The sequence below is a fragment of the Homo sapiens genome, chromosome 2 (assembly GCF_000001405.40).
Source record: "Homo sapiens chromosome 2, GRCh38.p14 Primary Assembly".
Lineage (NCBI taxonomy): Eukaryota > Metazoa > Chordata > Mammalia > Primates > Hominidae > Homo > Homo sapiens.
The window spans coordinates 1,978,593-1,996,202 of NC_000002.12; the positions used below are offsets into that span (position 1 = coordinate 1,978,593).

The window sequence follows — 17,610 nt, forward strand, 5'->3', positions numbered from 1 at the left end:
GCTGGTATTTATAAGATTAATGTAATCACTGCAGTTCCAAAGTCTTGCAAGCTTGATATGCCCTGACCTTCACTTGACCTGACCTCACCCTGCAGCCGTCCAGATGTAAGAATGGGCTTAGTTTCCCAGGATGAACCCCGTTAAATGCTGGAAATGGAGTCTACAGACAGGTCAGCAGGTCACATTTTAATTGACCGTTCATTGTTTACCATCCTGCCACTCCCAGAATGAGGACGTGAGGAAGGAGAAATTGGGCTCCTCGGTGAGCAGTGGGAAGTTCTTAGGTGGCCGTGTGCTGAGCACCACATATGCAGATGGGAACATGAGCTTAAGGCTGGCCTGAATTTGTGTCATCCTAAGGAGTGTCACCTATTCTGCCCACGAGATCGAACGGCTTATGTTTTGAGAACCCTTTCAAGAGACAAAGACTGAGTTCCAGTGTGAGAAGAAAAAGAAGGCATAATGTGTATTGCTTTCCAAGAACACCTGCTCACACAGTTCATCATCAGGACTGGGTCCCCAAATAAGTCACTTTAGACAGCACATTGTGGAAAAAAAAATGCAGGCATTACCTTCTGTGTCTTGCATATTTGCCACTGACATGACCACTGCCGTCACAGCCAGGGGTGGGACAGCTGCAACAGGAAAGAATGGATTACACGGTGCCGCAGGCAGGCAGGTGAGACGGAAAGCTTCCGTGGCAGCAGAGAGAAGGAGGGCGGCTCAGACAGAGGAGAGAAATCACACAATCCAAAGGAGGGGGAAATTCGGGGAGGCTTTTTACGAGCAAGTCTCGGGGGAATTAATTTCATCAGTGCAGCAGGGCGTGAGCAAGCTGCCGATGAGCTGGAAGGTGCAGTGTGCCCATTAGAAGGCGTGAATTTTCCAAACTGTTAATGGGGATGCATTTTACCCACATGGCACTAACCTGAACAGCTCTTGTATGGCTGGTTCCACGGGAACTGCAGAGAGATGGAAATAGATAAAAATTTACCATCTATCACAAGCGACCCTCTTCCACAGAAAATTACCAAAAGGGTGGCATGAAAGTGGGGTCAGAATCGACCTCAGTTCCGCAGGATGAAGGTGACCCTGAGCCGGCCTCAGGATGCAGGGAAGCGCGGACATACCTCGAACCCCTTTGGACCGCGTGCGATGCCGCTTCTCCTCGGTGTCCACCTCCATCTGGGGATAGATTAGCAGCCATCAATGTGCTTATCCTGCCTGTGCAGGCCAGCCCTGCAGGGGCGGCTCACTCTCCCTGGCATTCTATTAATGGGGCTTTAATCCTGTTTCCCTCCATGAAGGGAAGCCCTCTACAAGGGCAGGGGGTAAGACCAGGCAATCTAAATGTATTACTCAAACAATTATAAACAGACCTTAACCTTGTAGGGAATATTTAATCAGGAGGCCCTTGTCCTCTATAATGGGGTAGATTTTGATGAATCTTGAAGTACCATCTATTTACTCTCTTTTCAAGAATTTGATGGAGACACATCTGTGTGCTTCTGAGTTGTGCTTTGTACTAAGAATATAACAGCCATTAGGTTTATAAGAAGGTAAATATATATAATATATATGTATTTTTATATATCTTATGTATATATAAAAACAAATATTTATATATATAACATATATATTTTGTATATATATACCTTTCAGTTACAAGGAGAATCTAAATATTATATATACATTATATATAATATATAGTTTATATTTATATCTATATATACACACACACATATATATATAATATTTAGATTCTCCTTGTAACTGAAAGTTTTAATCTGATTAAGCGGTTAAGACAAGAGGCTGTAGGTACAGTGGAAGAACACGTTTTACCATCAGGGGCGCGCTCTCAATGTTGTTTAGTTCCTGGAATGCAATTGTCCTCCACATTTATCTAAATTGCTTGGTTTCCTTTGAGGCATCTAGACCTTCCACTCATAGGAACTGACACATCTTATACTTGAGACATTACAAATGCTTTTATATATTACTTTGTGGGATCTTCACAACAATTTTGTAAGGAAAGTATTTTTATTATACCTATTTAATACATGAGAAAACTAAAATTCAGACCACCTGAGTTACCCAAGATGGTTTGAGTTGAAGGTTTTGGAGTAAGGACCAAAAATCACATGTCTGTCTTTGTTTCCACTAAGCCTCAGGAGCATGCTGTTGCGTGGTAAATATATACGAGTATGTTTGTTCACCAAACATTCCCACAGTATGGGAAGTGTTTGCACATGGCAAACTGGATAGCAGGAGAACTCTACTCAAGACGACGGGGGAGCTAAGAAGAGATGAGCAATAGAAGCTGGCCAAAGCCCCATTGAATGGCCTCTACACCGGCTCACAGGGCACACCAAAGCCACTTCCTCCATGGTTTAGAGGAAGAACATCGGGACTGAGTGAAGAAGACTCATTAGATGCCTGTGGCTCTATTCGAGGCACACTCCAGAAAAGAACAGGGTAGATCTGCCGCTGAAATAAACTAGCAAGGCACAACTCAACAGGTACAGTATGAAAGGCATCAGAAATCCACATGGACAGTGCCTGATTTAATGTTTATAGCAACTAACCAGCAGCTATTTATTGATGAATACTATGGATGAGTATTATGGTATCGGGGGATAAAATCATACATGTAATAAAAACATAAGCTCATTTAATGAGCTTAAAAATCTCTTAATGGGCTATATATGGACATAATGATGTGCCAGATTTAATACCAAAACAAAAACTTCAGCAAAGGAGGGGCCAATGGGAAGTGGAAGCCAAGGAAAGATGCTCGGGGAAAGCTGTGATCCATGAGAATTGTTTGTGTAGGTGTGAAAGGAAGGAAAAGAGACTGTCTCTATGACTGGCATCTAGAGGCTTGATATGCAGTTATTGAGTGAATGAATGAATGAATGAGTCCATTTGCTGGGAATGCTGCAGGTCAAGGAGGTGCCTGAAGTGGAATATTGGAAAGACGACATCAGACGGTGCAGACGACGGGCCTGAGCCAGGGCCACGTGCAGTGTTGGAAGGGATGTACCGGGAGGCCCCGCTGGTCCAGCTGAATAGACAGCTGCTGGCCTTTCTTGAGCATGGGGAGGACGAGTCGCAAACATGTTTTAGAAAAAAACAAGTTAACGGCAGCTTGAGAGAGGGCATGGAGGGGGCAGGCAGTGCAGTTGGGAGCAAGCTGGGAGGAGACTGGCAGTCGCCTAAGAAGAAAGGGCTTGGGCAGTGGCCTCAACAGCATCTGTGGCTTAGTCCCATCGTCAGCCAATTCGGGAACATAATTGTCTGGGAAAGAAAGAAATGGGTTTAAAAAACTTTCTGATGGAAGAATCCACACAACACAATGGCTCATCAGGCAGCTTTTGGGTTTTCTGCCCTTTCCTGTGATTTAAAGATATACCTGGGATATGAAACTCTGGGGCCACATCACGTGGATTTGACATTTAACTAAATAGCACCATGAGGAACACATCAATGCTCTGAAATTGCTATTCAACATGAAAACACTTCAAAACACCAGAAAATTCTAGCAAAGTGATCTAGGGCCAAAGTGACATGAGGCAGAGATGAACTGAGAGTCAAGAAGCCTAAAGCAATGGCAAAAACAGCATTCACATCCATGAGAAAGGGCATTTCCCGGGGTCCCCTGCCCTTGTCACAGGCCATTCACATCCACGAGAAATGGCATTTCCCAGGGTCCCCTGCCTTTGTCACAGGTCTGGGGATGCAGAGATAATGGGGTAAAATCGTATTCTTTAAGGAATTCAAAATTGAATTAAAACATTTAATGAAGGCCTATAAGTTGAGAAACATTCTCCGGGGGTGTAGTGGAAGTTTGGATGAGGCTTCCATTGGATTCCATGGATTCCATTCCATCATTCCATTGGATGAGGATTAGGAAGAAGAAAGAAATTTCCTGGAGGAACTCATATTTGGGCTGAATGTTAAAAGTTAACTGGATGTTTCAGGTTAAAAAGAAAAACTGTGGTGAGGGTGTGTTCCTCACAGAGGGAACAGGACGTGTAAAGACCCAAAGGCTTGGAGAGACAGGTGTGTTCCAGGAGAGACAAAGCTGGGGCTGGGGTGGGAGAGACACACTCCGAGCTTGGCTATGAGCTCCCTTCAGTAGGGCACAGAATTCTCAAAGTTTCCAGCAGAACAGGGGCCAGTCACACTCAGTCATCACCCAGCTTGCTTACCCTTATCCAGCATCTCGTGAATAAACCCACATTTATGATTTCTCTTGCTGTAGTTTAGGGGAGCACCTGTGAGCAGAAGTGCAGTAAAGCTAGTTTTCCTTTGTGGGCATTAAATAGAAAAACTTGGCCTTATTAGCTAACTGCTCATATGGTTGGATAAGGATAAGAATTGTTTTATTTTTACAATTAAATTCTTCATCCTTTCAGTATTTTTTATGCATATAGGGGCAAACTTATTTTTTTTCCAGTCAGATAGCTAATTCTTCCAGTAATCAGTTATTAAATAAATCATATTCCCTCCCTACACTAAAATATTCCTCTTGCTGAATGTGAAATTCCTGCCACAGTTGGGTCAGACTCTCTGTTCCCTCCTCCGTCGGTTCCTTCCAGTGCAATCCTGTTTGGATTATGGTGGCTCTACAGTGTGTTTTCCTCTGCTGAACAAGGGCCTTTGCTATGAGCATTACAGGAGATAATTTATGAAAGATGCCAAGCACAGCACCCCACATGGAGCAGACACTAAACAGATGGGGTTCCCCTTTCTTTCCCTTTCAGCCAATGAAACCCAAATCTGAAGGGTTTCAAAAGCTGTTTTAAATTTTACATTTACATAGCTGTTTAATAAGTGCCAATTGCCAGAAAGATTCAAATTAAGCAGAAAGCATAAAACGTATGGTCTGAAATGCCAGGAGGTTTTCATTTTCTAATGTGTGCACCTGATGGTGTGTGGTCCTAAGGCAGCTGGCCCTTGCCGGCACTCTCACACTTTGTTTCTTCAGGACTCCCCAGCCCCTCCATCCTGCCCTGCCCTTCTCTCCTACCCGCCTGAAAAGAATGCTTGGGCTTGCTTCCACCCAGGGCCTGCCCACCACTGGCGACTGTCATTGGCAGCCTCAGGCGTTTAAACCGTTCATTTGAATTCATTCTTCTGGTGGTCCCAGGGCTGGAACTGCGAGCTTCACTTACTGAACCCGTGAATGGCTCAGTCGCGTTTTCTAAGACATCAGCTCTGATCTTCCTTGGAACTGGAGAAAGTTCACCTCAGTTATCACTGCTTGGGTTTCTGATTACCTCTCCAGTAATTTACATTTAGAAAATCACCCTTAAAACTCCACTTTAGCAGTAATTCTTTTTATTTTGAAGTCTAATATTTATTTTTAAAATAAGGACGTTTTCTAAGATTTAAAATTTGTTTTATACTTAAAGAAAAGTCTTGAATTTAAGGAATCTATTTTGAGCCAATAAAGCTGTCAGGAGTGATTCATGAAGAGAGAGCAGGTGAATTATTTCCTAATATGAAAACTTTACATTTGGACTCAGGATTTATTTTAGTACTATGATCTTCCTTCTCTTTTCCTTCCAATAAAAGGGATGCTTTCCTCAAGTTGAGCCTCAGTGAAGAGATTATAATGTATATATATTTGATACATATATTTAGGGGCAGGGTATCACTTTGTCACCCAGGCTGGAGTACAGTGGCACAATCATAGCTTGCTGCACCCTCGAACTCCACTTCCAGAGTGGCTGGACTACAGGTGTGTGCCACCATGCCTGGCTAATCTTTTCAATTATTTGTAGAGCCAGGATCTCACTATGTTTCCCAGGCTGGTCTTGAACTCCTGGACTCAAGTGATCCTACTGCCTCTGCCTTCCAAAGTTCTGGGATCCCTGGTGTGAGCCATGGTACCTGGCCAAGAACTAATTTTTTTTTTTTTTTTTTTTTTGAGACAGAGTCTTGCTCTGTGGCCCAGGCTGGAGTGCAGTGGCGCTATCTGGGCTCACTACAAGCTCCGCCTCCTGGGTTCACACCATTCTCCTGCCTCAGCCTCCCGAGTAGCTGGGACTACAGGCGCCCGCCACCATGCCCGGCTAATTTTTTGTACTTTTAGTAGAGACAGGGTTTCACCGTGTTAGCCAGGATGGTCTCAATCTCCTGACTTCGTGATCCACCTGCCTCAGCCTCCCAAAGTGCTGGTATTACAGGTGCAAGCCACCGTGCCTGGCCAAGAACTAATATTTTAAATGCACGAAAATTTCATAAACTCAGTAAAATCCCTTGGAGTCCTCAGTGGCTGCTTTCTGATGTCAAGTACCACATTAGGCCATAACTGTGAACCCAGGAGGAGCTCACTTTGGGTCCCAGGTCTGCCAGAGACCAGCAAGGTCCTCCTAACCCGAGTCTCTAGCCACAGGGACCTGCTCTCCCCTCCCCGACAGAGTCCTCTTGCAGGAACAGGACATGGGGGCTTGGACTGCAGGCTGGGTTACGGACAGCTCCCACTTTGACACCAGAACCTGAGCTCCAGGCCTCCCTCCCTGCCACAGTCACTCCTCCACTAACCAGGAAGCAATTTCCATTTTGCCAACCAGCCAGACCCTGCCTTTCAGCTCCTGCTGCTCAATTCGCTTGGTCAATTCTTTGCTTGTCAGCAGCATCAAGAAGAGGAGATAGGAGGGAGGGCAGGAGCCAGAGATCAGTCCTAGCCTCTGTGAGGGGTAAGGAAGGCTCGGGGAAGGAATGTTGAAGAGAAACTGGAAGTCCTGGCAGAAGGCAGTGCAGGTGTGCATGTCTAGCCATATCCAGGTGTTTTCCCAACAGCACTTCTTCCTAGGAATTACTCTTTCCAAGGCAGCTGGGAGCTGGTCAGCCTTCTAAAACCCTACGTCATAGAAAATACCTCCACGTCTCAATTCTGACTCCAGCAAGTTTGGGCTCCTAAAAATACATCTATGAAGATTAGCAAGAATCATAACTTATATTTTCTAGTCATCCTTCAAAAATGTTTAAACAGAGAATGACAACAACACGTATTATCATGAAACCCTAAAAATAAATCCTTCTAAATGGCATAGTTTGAATGCTTAATAGACTTCTATGCCTAGTTTGAGACAAACACTTTAAAAATCACGCTACAAATCCTAAGAAAATAGCAATCAAAATGATGACAGGTTGCAATAAAGATGTCTTGTAATAGGCCCCCTAGAGGGGAGCTCCATCATTTTGACAGAGCCAACTTGTGAGAGTGCGACCACCCAGGATAGCACTAATTCGAGCACGGCACCAAGGACACCACACCAGCCTGTGCCTCAATGGGTGCCCCCAGCCTCTCCCTCAGATCTGTGTGTGTTGTGAGGGTGCAGAGCTGGGAGCTGGACCCAACAGAGGTGGGAGGACAGCCATAGGAAGTGCACTCAGCCACTAGCCTTTTGAATACAGGAAAAGCAAGTTGTCAAAATATAGGATCCTATCTTTCAGGCAGGTGGACGTCCTGACGGAAAAGTGCCTGGCCCATGGTAGATGCCTGTAAATTTCAGTTAAGTGAGTGAATGAATAAACTAATTACATTGTACTAATGCATCTCTTGGTCAGCTACATTGTTAATAATTTTATTACAGTTTTAAAAAATTCTCACAATACAAATAAAAAGTTTCAAAGAAATATCCACTCCACATGCAGCCAGAAGACACCTACGCCTCTATTTCCACATGCATGGTGGGAATGCCACGTCAATGGAATGCTGGTCAGGCGGCCTGGGATCACTGGACGTTAAGCCAGAAGTCAGCAAGGAGCCTTTCAGAGCTTCAAAAAAAGCCTCAGGGTATTTGCTCTGGGAAAATCCTGGGATTCCCTGGCCCAAGAAGGGTTTCCTCCCATCATGTTTGAGCCGGGAAGCTAATGGAACATTTGAAACTAAACCAAACCTGAACCAAGTCTCAAAGGCTTCGAAGATGTCTACAGGGTAATCGAGGCAGTGGTGATGCTTTCATAAAATAATTTACATTTGATTTTATTCAAAAAAGGATGGTCTAGCAGTTTTATATCCATGAAAAACAGGTTGCCCAATTTACGTCATGTACGATAACAGCAGAGAAGCCCCAAAATACCCACAAGAAGAACTTTTGGGGAAGCGCTAGGGGCCAGGAAGAGAGAGGCCTCACTTCACTTTGGAGGCCTCATCTCAGGCCAAGGGGGTCGTCAGATGCTGTGCAAGCAGTGGTGAAGCTTTGTTGTTCACACTAAGAGCTGACACCCGATGAGCTGGAGCCTCTTTCAGATGTAATGGTTGCATTTCCAATCACAGCGTGATACCTACTTTTACATCAAGGAATGGCTGGGCAGGAAGGCACCCCTTCCAGAACTTCAGAGGAAACATCAAGTCAGGTGCCCTTCAAGAATTTAACTATTTTTGTTGTTGTTGTTGGTAAAATAGATGTTGTTTCAGCCCTGAGCATAAAAATAAGAAAATAGATCCTTATTTTCATTTTAAAATATGATTTTCTAAACTTGAATGTGTTTCTTATGACTTCTCCATTACTTTATCTTGCCAGCAAGTTCTGGGAGAAAATTCAAAGAATCAGAATTTTAGGGCTGGGGGGTACCCGAACAGTCTCATGGCCAGGGGCTCATACCCAGCCACTTAGAACTGTTCCATCGGGTTCTTGGTGCTTAACAAATTGGACTAACATCTAAAAATCTCCAGGCTTTATATCAAAACCTTGATTTCTGTTTTTTTTGTTTTTTTTTTTCTGTTTTTTGTTTTTTTCTTTCTGGAAAAATATGATGATCTGAAAGCATTGCTCTAAATTTCTCTTGGCCTCAGATGGCCGGAGTGGAGGTGCAGCGTTTCCATGGGAGGGGCAGCCAGTGTTCCCATGGGAGGGGCAGCGTTCCCATGGGAGGGGCATGTGCTACCCCACACCACAGCTTTCAAGTCTGGGGCCCTCATGCCCATTCCTTTCTGGGCTTATGCCTCCTGCCCACCTGCTTCAGGGATTCACGTCTGCTGCTCTCCATCTGTTCCAAGCTGGTTCTGAAGCTGGACCTAGCAACAGTGAGCTGAGGCTGCGTGGGGAGTGCAGGTGCTCCCTGGGTCCCCTGCTCTCTGCCCATGAGGATGACTGAGTCTAAGAGAAAGAGCAGACGTTGAAGTCCCAGGACCTCTGGAGCATCCTGGAGAAGCCAGACCTCAGTTGATGCTTCTGGGGTATGTAATTGTTACAGGAGTGACATTCCCATGCTGGGCCTCAAGACTCAGAATATGGCTCATCAGGACGTTCATGGGTCCTGGGTAGATACTGGAACTGTATGTGGCAAAGGTTCAGAATGTACCAACTCCCCCTGAAGCTGTCCTCTAGCACGTGAGCTTTTGGTCAATGTTTAATAATTTCTTTGCGTTTCATCTCTGCTCTTGGAGTAATTTGTTCTTTGATCTTCCTGAAAGTTGCTCCAAACAAGTTTCCATAGACTTTGCACATGCCTTTAAAATAACTCTGGTCTTATCTTCATGTGCTTGTGAGACCTCCACCCTCCCGCCAGCCCAGCTGCACCTACAGGGTAGAAACGGTGCCACATTCCCACCCTCCCGCCAGCCCAGCTGCACCTACAGGGTGGAAACGGTGCCACATTCCAACCCTCCTGCCAGCCCAGCTGCACCTCCGGGGTGGAGATGTGCCACATTCCCGCCTGCACCTCCCATTCCTGCGGAGCGCCGGGCACACAGCAGGGCTGCCTGACCATGCTGGGTGGGTGGAAGGTGGGCCCGTGATGATACGTGGCTCTGAACATCTCTGCATGTGCTTTCCAGGGCCCTGTAGTGGGCAGTATCCTCCGTCTACTCTGCTGGCTCTCCAGATTTCAGTGTCTTCATATTCTCGAACTCCTCCTTGTCAGTGGCAGCCCCTTCACTGGATGGCTTTGGAAGACACTGTGGCCTGTGCACCGTGCGGGGCAGCAGCAGCATACATGTGCATGACGGGGTGACAGCCTGCAGTGCCAGTGCTGGCTCCATACACAAACCTGCTTATGCTGGGCACAATCACCTTTATGAATCTGAGTATTTTCATGTGTAAAATCCCTGCTTACCGCATTGGGTGGTGGAGAGGACTGAATAAAAGAATCTTAGGTAAGAACCTTTTACAGAGCTTGGTGCATAGCAGATGCTCTCCAACTCCTGAGCTCAAGTGATCCACCCACATCAGCCTCCCAAAGTGCTGTGATTACAGGCATGAGCCACTGCGCCTGGCTGGGTACATAGCCGATGCTGAGGATATGCTTGGTGCTTTCTTCTTATTTCCATGTCTGGGTGTTGTAAGTTTTCCCAAAGGGATAAGAAACAAATGCTTGTGGAATCCATGTTACAGATAACTGCATAGCCCTTCTTATGTAGGGTAAGATGAAGTCCTCTGGGTACTGTTGATTACCTTCTCATAATACCAAATATTATATTAGCCTTTCATGTCCCTGAACTAGTATGCTGGTACTTTGGCCCCAGAGTACAGTCTCCAGGACTCCTACAGCCAAACGTTTAGTTGCATTTACAAAATCTAAAAAGTGCGTGTGTGTGTGTGTGTCAGGTGGGAACACAACTTTCTTTTCTAGATGAGAATATTTTTCTTGGACTCTTCACAGTCTCCTTTAATTCAACTAATTCTTCATTTTTAACAGGATTTGGACTCCTAAGTTCCCTGTGCCAGGCAAGGGAGCAGCTGAGAGTGTCTTCTCAGGAGCTGCAGTCCTGAAGCCTGGGGAACTGGGTCATTGCTAGAAGAGGCGGCTCTCTGCATGCCAGGAGAAACCCAGCCCAGGAGCTGCAGCCCGGCAATCCCAGGACAGAAGCGAGAGTGCACCCTACATCTTCTCATTCTGCAGCCCTCAGCATGGCACTTGGCACAGGGCAGTGGCTGGATAAATATTTGCTGAGTTGTACTAAATACAAATAACAAGGTTTGATTAAGGATCGCATGAAGGTTGGACACACCTTCTTGACAATACGGAAATAATTTAGTTAAGAGTCACAGATGCTCTACGCAGGAAAGAAAATGAGTAAAATAAAGGGAAACGTTTCCTACCTATAGGGGGAAACATCATAAATATTAGGTAAGTAATGAACATTCAAAAAACTTAGACTAGGGGCCAGGTGTGGTGGCTCACACCTGTAATCCCAGCACTTTGGGAGGCCAAGGTAGGTGGATCACCTGAGGTCAGGAGTTCGAGACCAGCCTGGCTAACATGGTGAAAACCCCGTCTCTACCAAAAATACAAAAGTTAGCTGGGCATGGTGGCGGGTGTCTGTAATCCCAGCTACTCTGGAGGCTGAGACAGGAGAATTGCTTAAACCTGGGAGGCGGGGGTTGCAGTGAGCTGAGATCCACCATTGCACTCCAGCCTGGGCAGCAAGAGTGAAACTCCGTCTCAAAAAAAACCAAACAACAACAAAAACCACTTAGACTAAGGATAATTTTAATGGCTGGTAGTTTATGCTTTTTCACACAAGTATAGTATGAAATAAAAATCATCTCTGGCCTTTTGGCACCTGTAAAATCAGTGTCTTGCAGGATAAACGGTGTGGTCAAGGGACACAGTCCTGATCTAGGAGGTGTAGCTGATGCTCCCCATTCCTGGGCGGACGCCATCTCTTGTGGGAACTCACAGTTCTCCCTGTACCACCAGTGAGGGCTCCTCACCCTCTATCCTCTATTGTACCTATTTATAAACTCACACATAGCTACACAGCAGTGCACACTTCCTGAGGGTGAGGGCTTTTTCAATTCATTCTTGAATTCTGTGGTTCCTCAATTTGTGGCATGGTTTCTTGTAAATAAGAGACCCTCAGGAAATCACGAGGAAGACAGATACTCAAGCACCAAGCTGTAACCCAAGACAGGATGAACTCAGCACCAAAATAGAAAAACCACTGCGGGTGCCATGGAGGGCAGTGGGGAAGAGTGGGGTAAGGAGCTCAACCTCCCAGGGTCACACCCTGCCTTTGTCTCCTCTTAGCTGTATGAGTTCAGGCAAGTTATCTAAGCTCCATGGCCAGGGGTGTCTCGATGACACATGTGGGCAACAGCACCCACATATTCCCAGAGATGTTGAGAAGCCAAAGAAGGGAGCGGCTTGGAGAGAGTTCTGGGGAAAAGAACGGCAGTTCTGTGTGGACTGCCAGGACCAGCCCTGCCTTCTAAGGTGCTCTGGAACAGGCCCAGTCGTCTAGAGCCCTCAGCGTCCATTGCCACAACTCAGCCAGGACAATACCATGTGAAGAAGCAAGGCTGGCGCATGCCCTGGTGCACACTGCTCTGGGATGTGTTGGAACAGAGCCCAGGAATCTGCTGTGCAGCCTCACAGGCGGCCATCTGGGTCCTCCTGCCGTGCCAGCTTCCTTTGTGGGCTAAGCTCATCCCAGGGCTGATGGAGACTGCTCTCCCTTGCAACCTGCACTTCCCATCTTGTCCCCTCTCAGGCAGCAAGCTTGCTGTTCTCTTTACAAGGAAGAGCAGAGGAGCCATTGAAGCCAGCCCCTCCGCTGGTCTCAACTACGTCTCTCATTCAATATCCCCTTCCAGCCTGCTTCCGAGTAAGAAGTTTCCATTGAAATCTCTGCTCGCTGCCAGGAATCGTGGCCCCAAATCACAGGGTGGATCCGGGGCTCCTGTTGGATCCCACCTACGCTTCCACATCAGCCCCTGCCGCCGCCCCCTCTTGTGAGGGTCTCGCTGTATCTTTTTCTTTTCTTTTTGGAGACTCTGCTACTCTGGCTGGAGTTTCAGTGACACGATCATGGCTCGCCGCAGCCTTGGACCTCCTAGACCCAAGTGGCCTTTCCCCTCAGCCCCTGAGACTCTGGGATTACAGGTGCACACCATGTCTGGCTAATCTGTGTATTTTTTGCCACCATGTTGTCCAGGCTGGTCTCAAACTCCTGGCCTCGAGTGATCCTCTGCCTCAGCCTCCAAAAGTTCTGGAATTTTAGGTGTGAGCCACTGCGCCTGACCTAGATCCTTTTCTTAAAGCTGACCTCTGAGGACCCACTCTCTCCCATCCTTCTTTCCAGTGTGTCTGTCCATCCCTCTCGCCTGGTTCGCCTCCTGCTTTCCTTCAGCTCAGACCCCTCCACCCTCCAACGGCTAACCTGCCCTCTCTCATGCAGTCAGGACCCTGTTGGCTATCACTTTTAACATCCTTCTTTCAAAGAACACCACTGACCCATCCCCCAAATCCACAGTCTTGTCAATTCCTCTCCATCAGCGAAGACTAGGATTCTCTGGATCACGTTCCCCCAAATTTCCATCTCTCGGGTTCACCACACTGGCTCTCAGAGCTCTATCCTGGTCCTTTCACCTCTCAGAGGACATCATAGCTGCCTCTCCTGCTCCACAAAGAAGGATTCGAACTGGCGTTTTCAGCCCTAACCTCTCCGGTCAGCACTCCTTGCTGCCTCTGTCACATCAAGTTCATCTTAGGGTTTTCCCTTAACCACGCCCCTAATTCCTATCGCACAGTTAGGCACTGCTGTCTCCTTTCTCCTTCCTCACCGTTTTGCAAATTTATTTATTAGACATCGGTTTTTCTGCACAGTTCACTGGCTGTAAGAGCTTGTGAGGTGGGGCCTCATGACAACCCAGCGTCGGTCCACGTTCTCCATAGTTAGTTCCTGAATGTATGAGGTGATTGTTCTTCCCTTCCGAAGCTTTAAAATAATACTTGGCTAGTTTTTCCCCCTTTCCCCTATCAAATAATTTATCACATTCTGGTTTTGGCTGTTGCCATTTTTTCCCGTTTCCTTGCATCTGCCTGGACACCACCCTCCTCCATGCCTGATCCTACCAAGAGGGAGCATTGCTGGAGTCCCCAGGTGCTCCCCTCCCCTGCTTTCCTGTCTATCCCCCATGCCCCGCTGTGATGCCTTCTGTCCGGGAATTCTCGGGCATAAGAACCCAGAGTGGTTCTCTGCTGATTACCCCAAGTCTAGCAATAATGCCTCCTTTTCCTTACTTGCCTTTGCAAAATTATGACTGACACAGTGAAAGAGATCTGACTTAACCCACTCCATCTTGCTTTTAACATCCAAGCTGTCCATATTCATTCCTGGGCAAAGGCTGAATTAGCTTTGGGAGAAACTTAGTTTACAGTTTAAACAAAGATGATAACGGCCCTTTCCCAAAGCAGACCTCCTTCTTGCCTGGGGACTACATTGCCCTTGTGGAACTAACATTAGCCATAAGATTTAAAATTATGATTTAGGAGTCATGCAGCTGGAGGCTACAAGATTCTGACCCTCCCTAAGCTGCTCCTAAGACCAGTGTTCTGATATTTTGCAGACCCTGCACCTGATGGATCAGCTGGCACCACCCGGATCAATAAACTGGCTCATCTGATCTTATGGCCCCAACCCAGGAACTGACTGAGCGCAAGAAGACAGCTCCACCTCCCTATGATCTCATCCCTGACCAATCAGCACTCCTGGCTCACTGGCTTCCCCCTACCCACCAAGTTATCCTTAAAAACTCTGCTCCTTGAATGCTCGGGGGAGACTGACTGGAGTAATAATGAAACTCCAGCCTCCCACACAGATGCCCTGAGTGAATTACTCTTTCTCTATTGCAATTCCCCCGTCTTGGTGAATCAGCTCTGTCTGGGCAGCAGGCAAGGTGAACCCCTTGGGCGGTTACATTATCGGGTTGAAGTACAAACAGGCACACAGGGGTCCGCCAGGTGGGGATTGGGCAGCCGCTGCTGTCTCTCTTCCCACAGCCAATTTTCTTACTGGAGGAAACCAACCTTCACTCCACTCCACAATGGAATGAATACACAGAGCAGGCTCTTTGTATATTTATTGTTTACAAAATCAGGCTCTGTTTACAAAACTTTTTTGTACTTGCTATTTTTCACTTAAAAAAAAATCACAGCCATCTCTCTAGGCTAATGTCTATCCATTGAACTCATCTTTTTGAATGGCTGCATAGTATTCCTCAGAATATACCTACTATAATTTATCCAGCCAGCCCTCCAAGTTCCTTTACTAACAAGGCTTATGTTGTTTTATTTCACTACAAAAATAATTTACAAAAATGATTACATGTATTTTGCATGTATTTCCAGAATAGAGTTTTCTAAAAAGATATCGTCACTTTACCATTAAAAAAGAAAACATTCCACGCCCTTTTTAGTAACATGTGATCATGCTGGTTTCTGGAAGCGCTGGTCACCTTTAATTTTATTCCGTCCTTGGCTTTGGTTGAGTAAAGCCACGTGTCTCGTCATTTCCTGGCCCCCAGGGAGGGTAAGCGTTCTCTCACACCCTCACCGTCCACAGCTCCTCGTCTGTGAAATTGTGATTCATATCCTTTGCCTGTTTTTCTTCTTTCTTTTCACATTTTTCACATTGATTCATAATAGCTGTCTGTACACTGCGGTGCTAACCCCTTTGCCCACCTTATCTGTCACCAGTATTTTCTTACAGCTTATTGTTGATATTGTTTTGTTGTTTTTCTATTTTGCTCATGGTATTTTTTCCCATGTATACATAAACGTTTTCGGTCATTCAGTCATTTGAAAAGAATCCCAGTCTCCGTGGCCTGCATGTGACTTTCTCACTAAGCCTTGCATTTTGGGGTGAGTGGCCGAGCCCCTGACGGGCCTGTTCCTTCCGGTGCCCTCACCAGGCTCAGCCCTGGTTCAGGCCCTGCTCCCTCCTCCCAGCGAGTCCTCCTGGGGGGCTCAGCCCTGGTTCACGCCCTGCTCCCTCCTCCCAGCGAGTCCTCCTGGGGGGCTCAGCCCTGGTTCAGGCCCTGCTCCCTCCTCCCAGCGAGTCCTCCTGGGGGGCTCAGCCCTGGTTCACGCCCTGCCCCCTCCTCCCAGCGAGTCCTCCTGGGGGCATCTGACTCCACTGACTCCACCCCTGGGCCGTGCTGTCTCCTGGTGATGCTCAGAGGTGTCGGCTCCCTCCCTGATGAATGCCTGTCCCAGCAGATGTGTGGCTACGGTGCTAGTGAAAAAAGCTCTCTTTGATAGCTACAAAAAACACAAATGTGACTGAAGAGCTGATTTTAACAAGTAATAGACAGTGTTCTGTATTGCTGATCTATAGGGCTGTTCTGAGACTACATCTGGTTTATATTCAGCATTTTCTATCTTTACTTCTCCCTAATTCAGATTTTAGTAATGTGGTAAAAAAAATTTAAAATTAAAAATTCAAATATGTTTTGCCATAGAAAAATATTACTGGAACTTCCCATTTATACAGGTATTTGAAATTATCTTAATGATTTTTCTAGTTTGCATATTCTTTTTAATTTTTTTAAATTATTCTACTTATTTTTTAGGGGGAGGAAAATACTAAAAGAATAAAGAACAGACAGAAAACTTAGAGAAACCTGTGTCTACAAGTGATAGAATGTGGAATCTGTGACATATGTTAAGTATTCACTGGGGAGGAAATACGTTATTCCACAGAAAAGTCATAGAAATGAAAATGTTCTGAAAGTTATTAAATGGGAAACATGAAGTTTAGAGACAGGGTATGGGCTTGGAATAGTTTTTTTTTTTTCCTACTTACTGTGTCGTTTTAGCTTTCAGGCATCTATTTTATCATCTGCACGAACTATTCCACAGGAATGTCTTTCCTGTGTGTTTATGTGACGGGGTGGATGTGAACACTCTAGCATGTGTGGAAGAACCCGGAAAATGCACAGGGCTCCACACGTGTGAGGGGACGCTGCTATGTGCCCAGTGCGGTAGCTGTGAGTTCACTAGACTGTCGTCCTCACTGCGCTCTCCTGCTGGGAGTGCCCTTCACCATGAGAGAAATGCACCGCTAATATCACACTGCCCTCCCTTCAAGGAGCAGGAAAGAAAAAAAGCATCAACAAGAGCATTCTAAATAATAAGAGAAAACCCTAAAAAAACACCTGCCTCTTGCAGAAGAGAGGAGAAAGTTCTAGAAGGGGTGGAAGGGAAAAGGAAGGAACATTATGTTGTCAGCACAGCCGCTGTAGGGGGAGGACTGAAGGAAGTGAGTGGGTGGTCTCTCGCTGACCACTGCTGCCGGGTAGTGGTTGAGCATGAGAGAGGCCCTCCCGTGTGGGTTCGAAGCACAGACCCTTTGTTCCCGGGTGATGGGCGTGGGACCAGCTGATGCCGAAATCCCCGTCCCAGACAACACTGCCTGGGCTTGGTGCTCCTTTATCAAGGGGAGTCCCAGGAGGAGGCCAGCGTGTAGTGGGATTCTCAGGGCTGCTGCAGGTGACGAGGTGGGCAGCGGCTCTGCCTAGGACTGCCCCAGGGGACAGAGGCAAGTGAAGAGCTACAAGAGAGAGGAAGGAAGCTGCCCTCTGTTTCTTAGAATCCAAGATGGGGTCAATCCAGCCATCAGAAAGGAAGAAGTGACTGATATGGAAGAGGAGAGGGGGAAATCTGAAGGAATGGTTTACAAGAAAAAGCTGAGGCATCTTCCCAGGATGGAAAGTGGAAGAGGGAAGGGCCGGAGAGGCTGAGGTGGAGGAAGCGGTGTGCAGGCTGATTGTTTTGACCACATAAGGAAGTGGTTTGTGGACAATGTGGTCTGGAAGAGGCTAGGAAACCGGGCTAGGAGATGTGAGTGCTGCTGTTTATTTAGTT

General features: G+C 46.6%; 1 protein-coding gene across 32 annotated transcripts in view, besides 2 other annotated features; it reads right to left on the minus strand.

The window, feature by feature from the left end:
• MYT1L (myelin transcription factor 1 like) overlaps positions 1 to 17,610 on the minus strand; it is a 542,163-nt gene that overhangs the window by 189,480 nt on the left and 335,073 nt on the right. For all 32 annotated transcript variants that reach the window (NM_015025.4, NM_001303052.2, XM_011510326.2 and 29 more), the window contains 3 exons: positions 1,131 to 1,185; positions 929 to 962; positions 573 to 635 (listed from right to left, as the gene is read on the minus strand). In NM_015025.4, coding sequence (NP_055840.2) covers positions 573 to 635; positions 929 to 962; positions 1,131 to 1,185 — 152 coding nt within the window. The remainder of the gene's footprint in view (positions 1 to 572; positions 636 to 928; positions 963 to 1,130; positions 1,186 to 17,610) is intronic.
• Positions 7,642 to 8,300: an enhancer, noted in NCBI's record as "OCT4-NANOG hESC enhancer chr2:1990006-1990664 (GRCh37/hg19 assembly coordinates)". NCBI's record gives its function as "activates a minimal SCP1, AML or CMV promoter by ChIP-STARR-seq in naive and primed H9 embryonic stem cells {active_cell/tissue: H9 hESC(naive and primed)}" and the evidence as "EXISTENCE:reporter gene assay evidence [ECO:0000049][PMID:30033119]".
• Positions 8,301 to 8,958: an enhancer, noted in NCBI's record as "OCT4-NANOG-H3K4me1 hESC enhancer chr2:1990665-1991322 (GRCh37/hg19 assembly coordinates)". NCBI's record gives its function as "activates a minimal SCP1, AML or CMV promoter by ChIP-STARR-seq in naive H9 embryonic stem cells {active_cell/tissue: H9 hESC(naive)}" and the evidence as "EXISTENCE:reporter gene assay evidence [ECO:0000049][PMID:30033119]".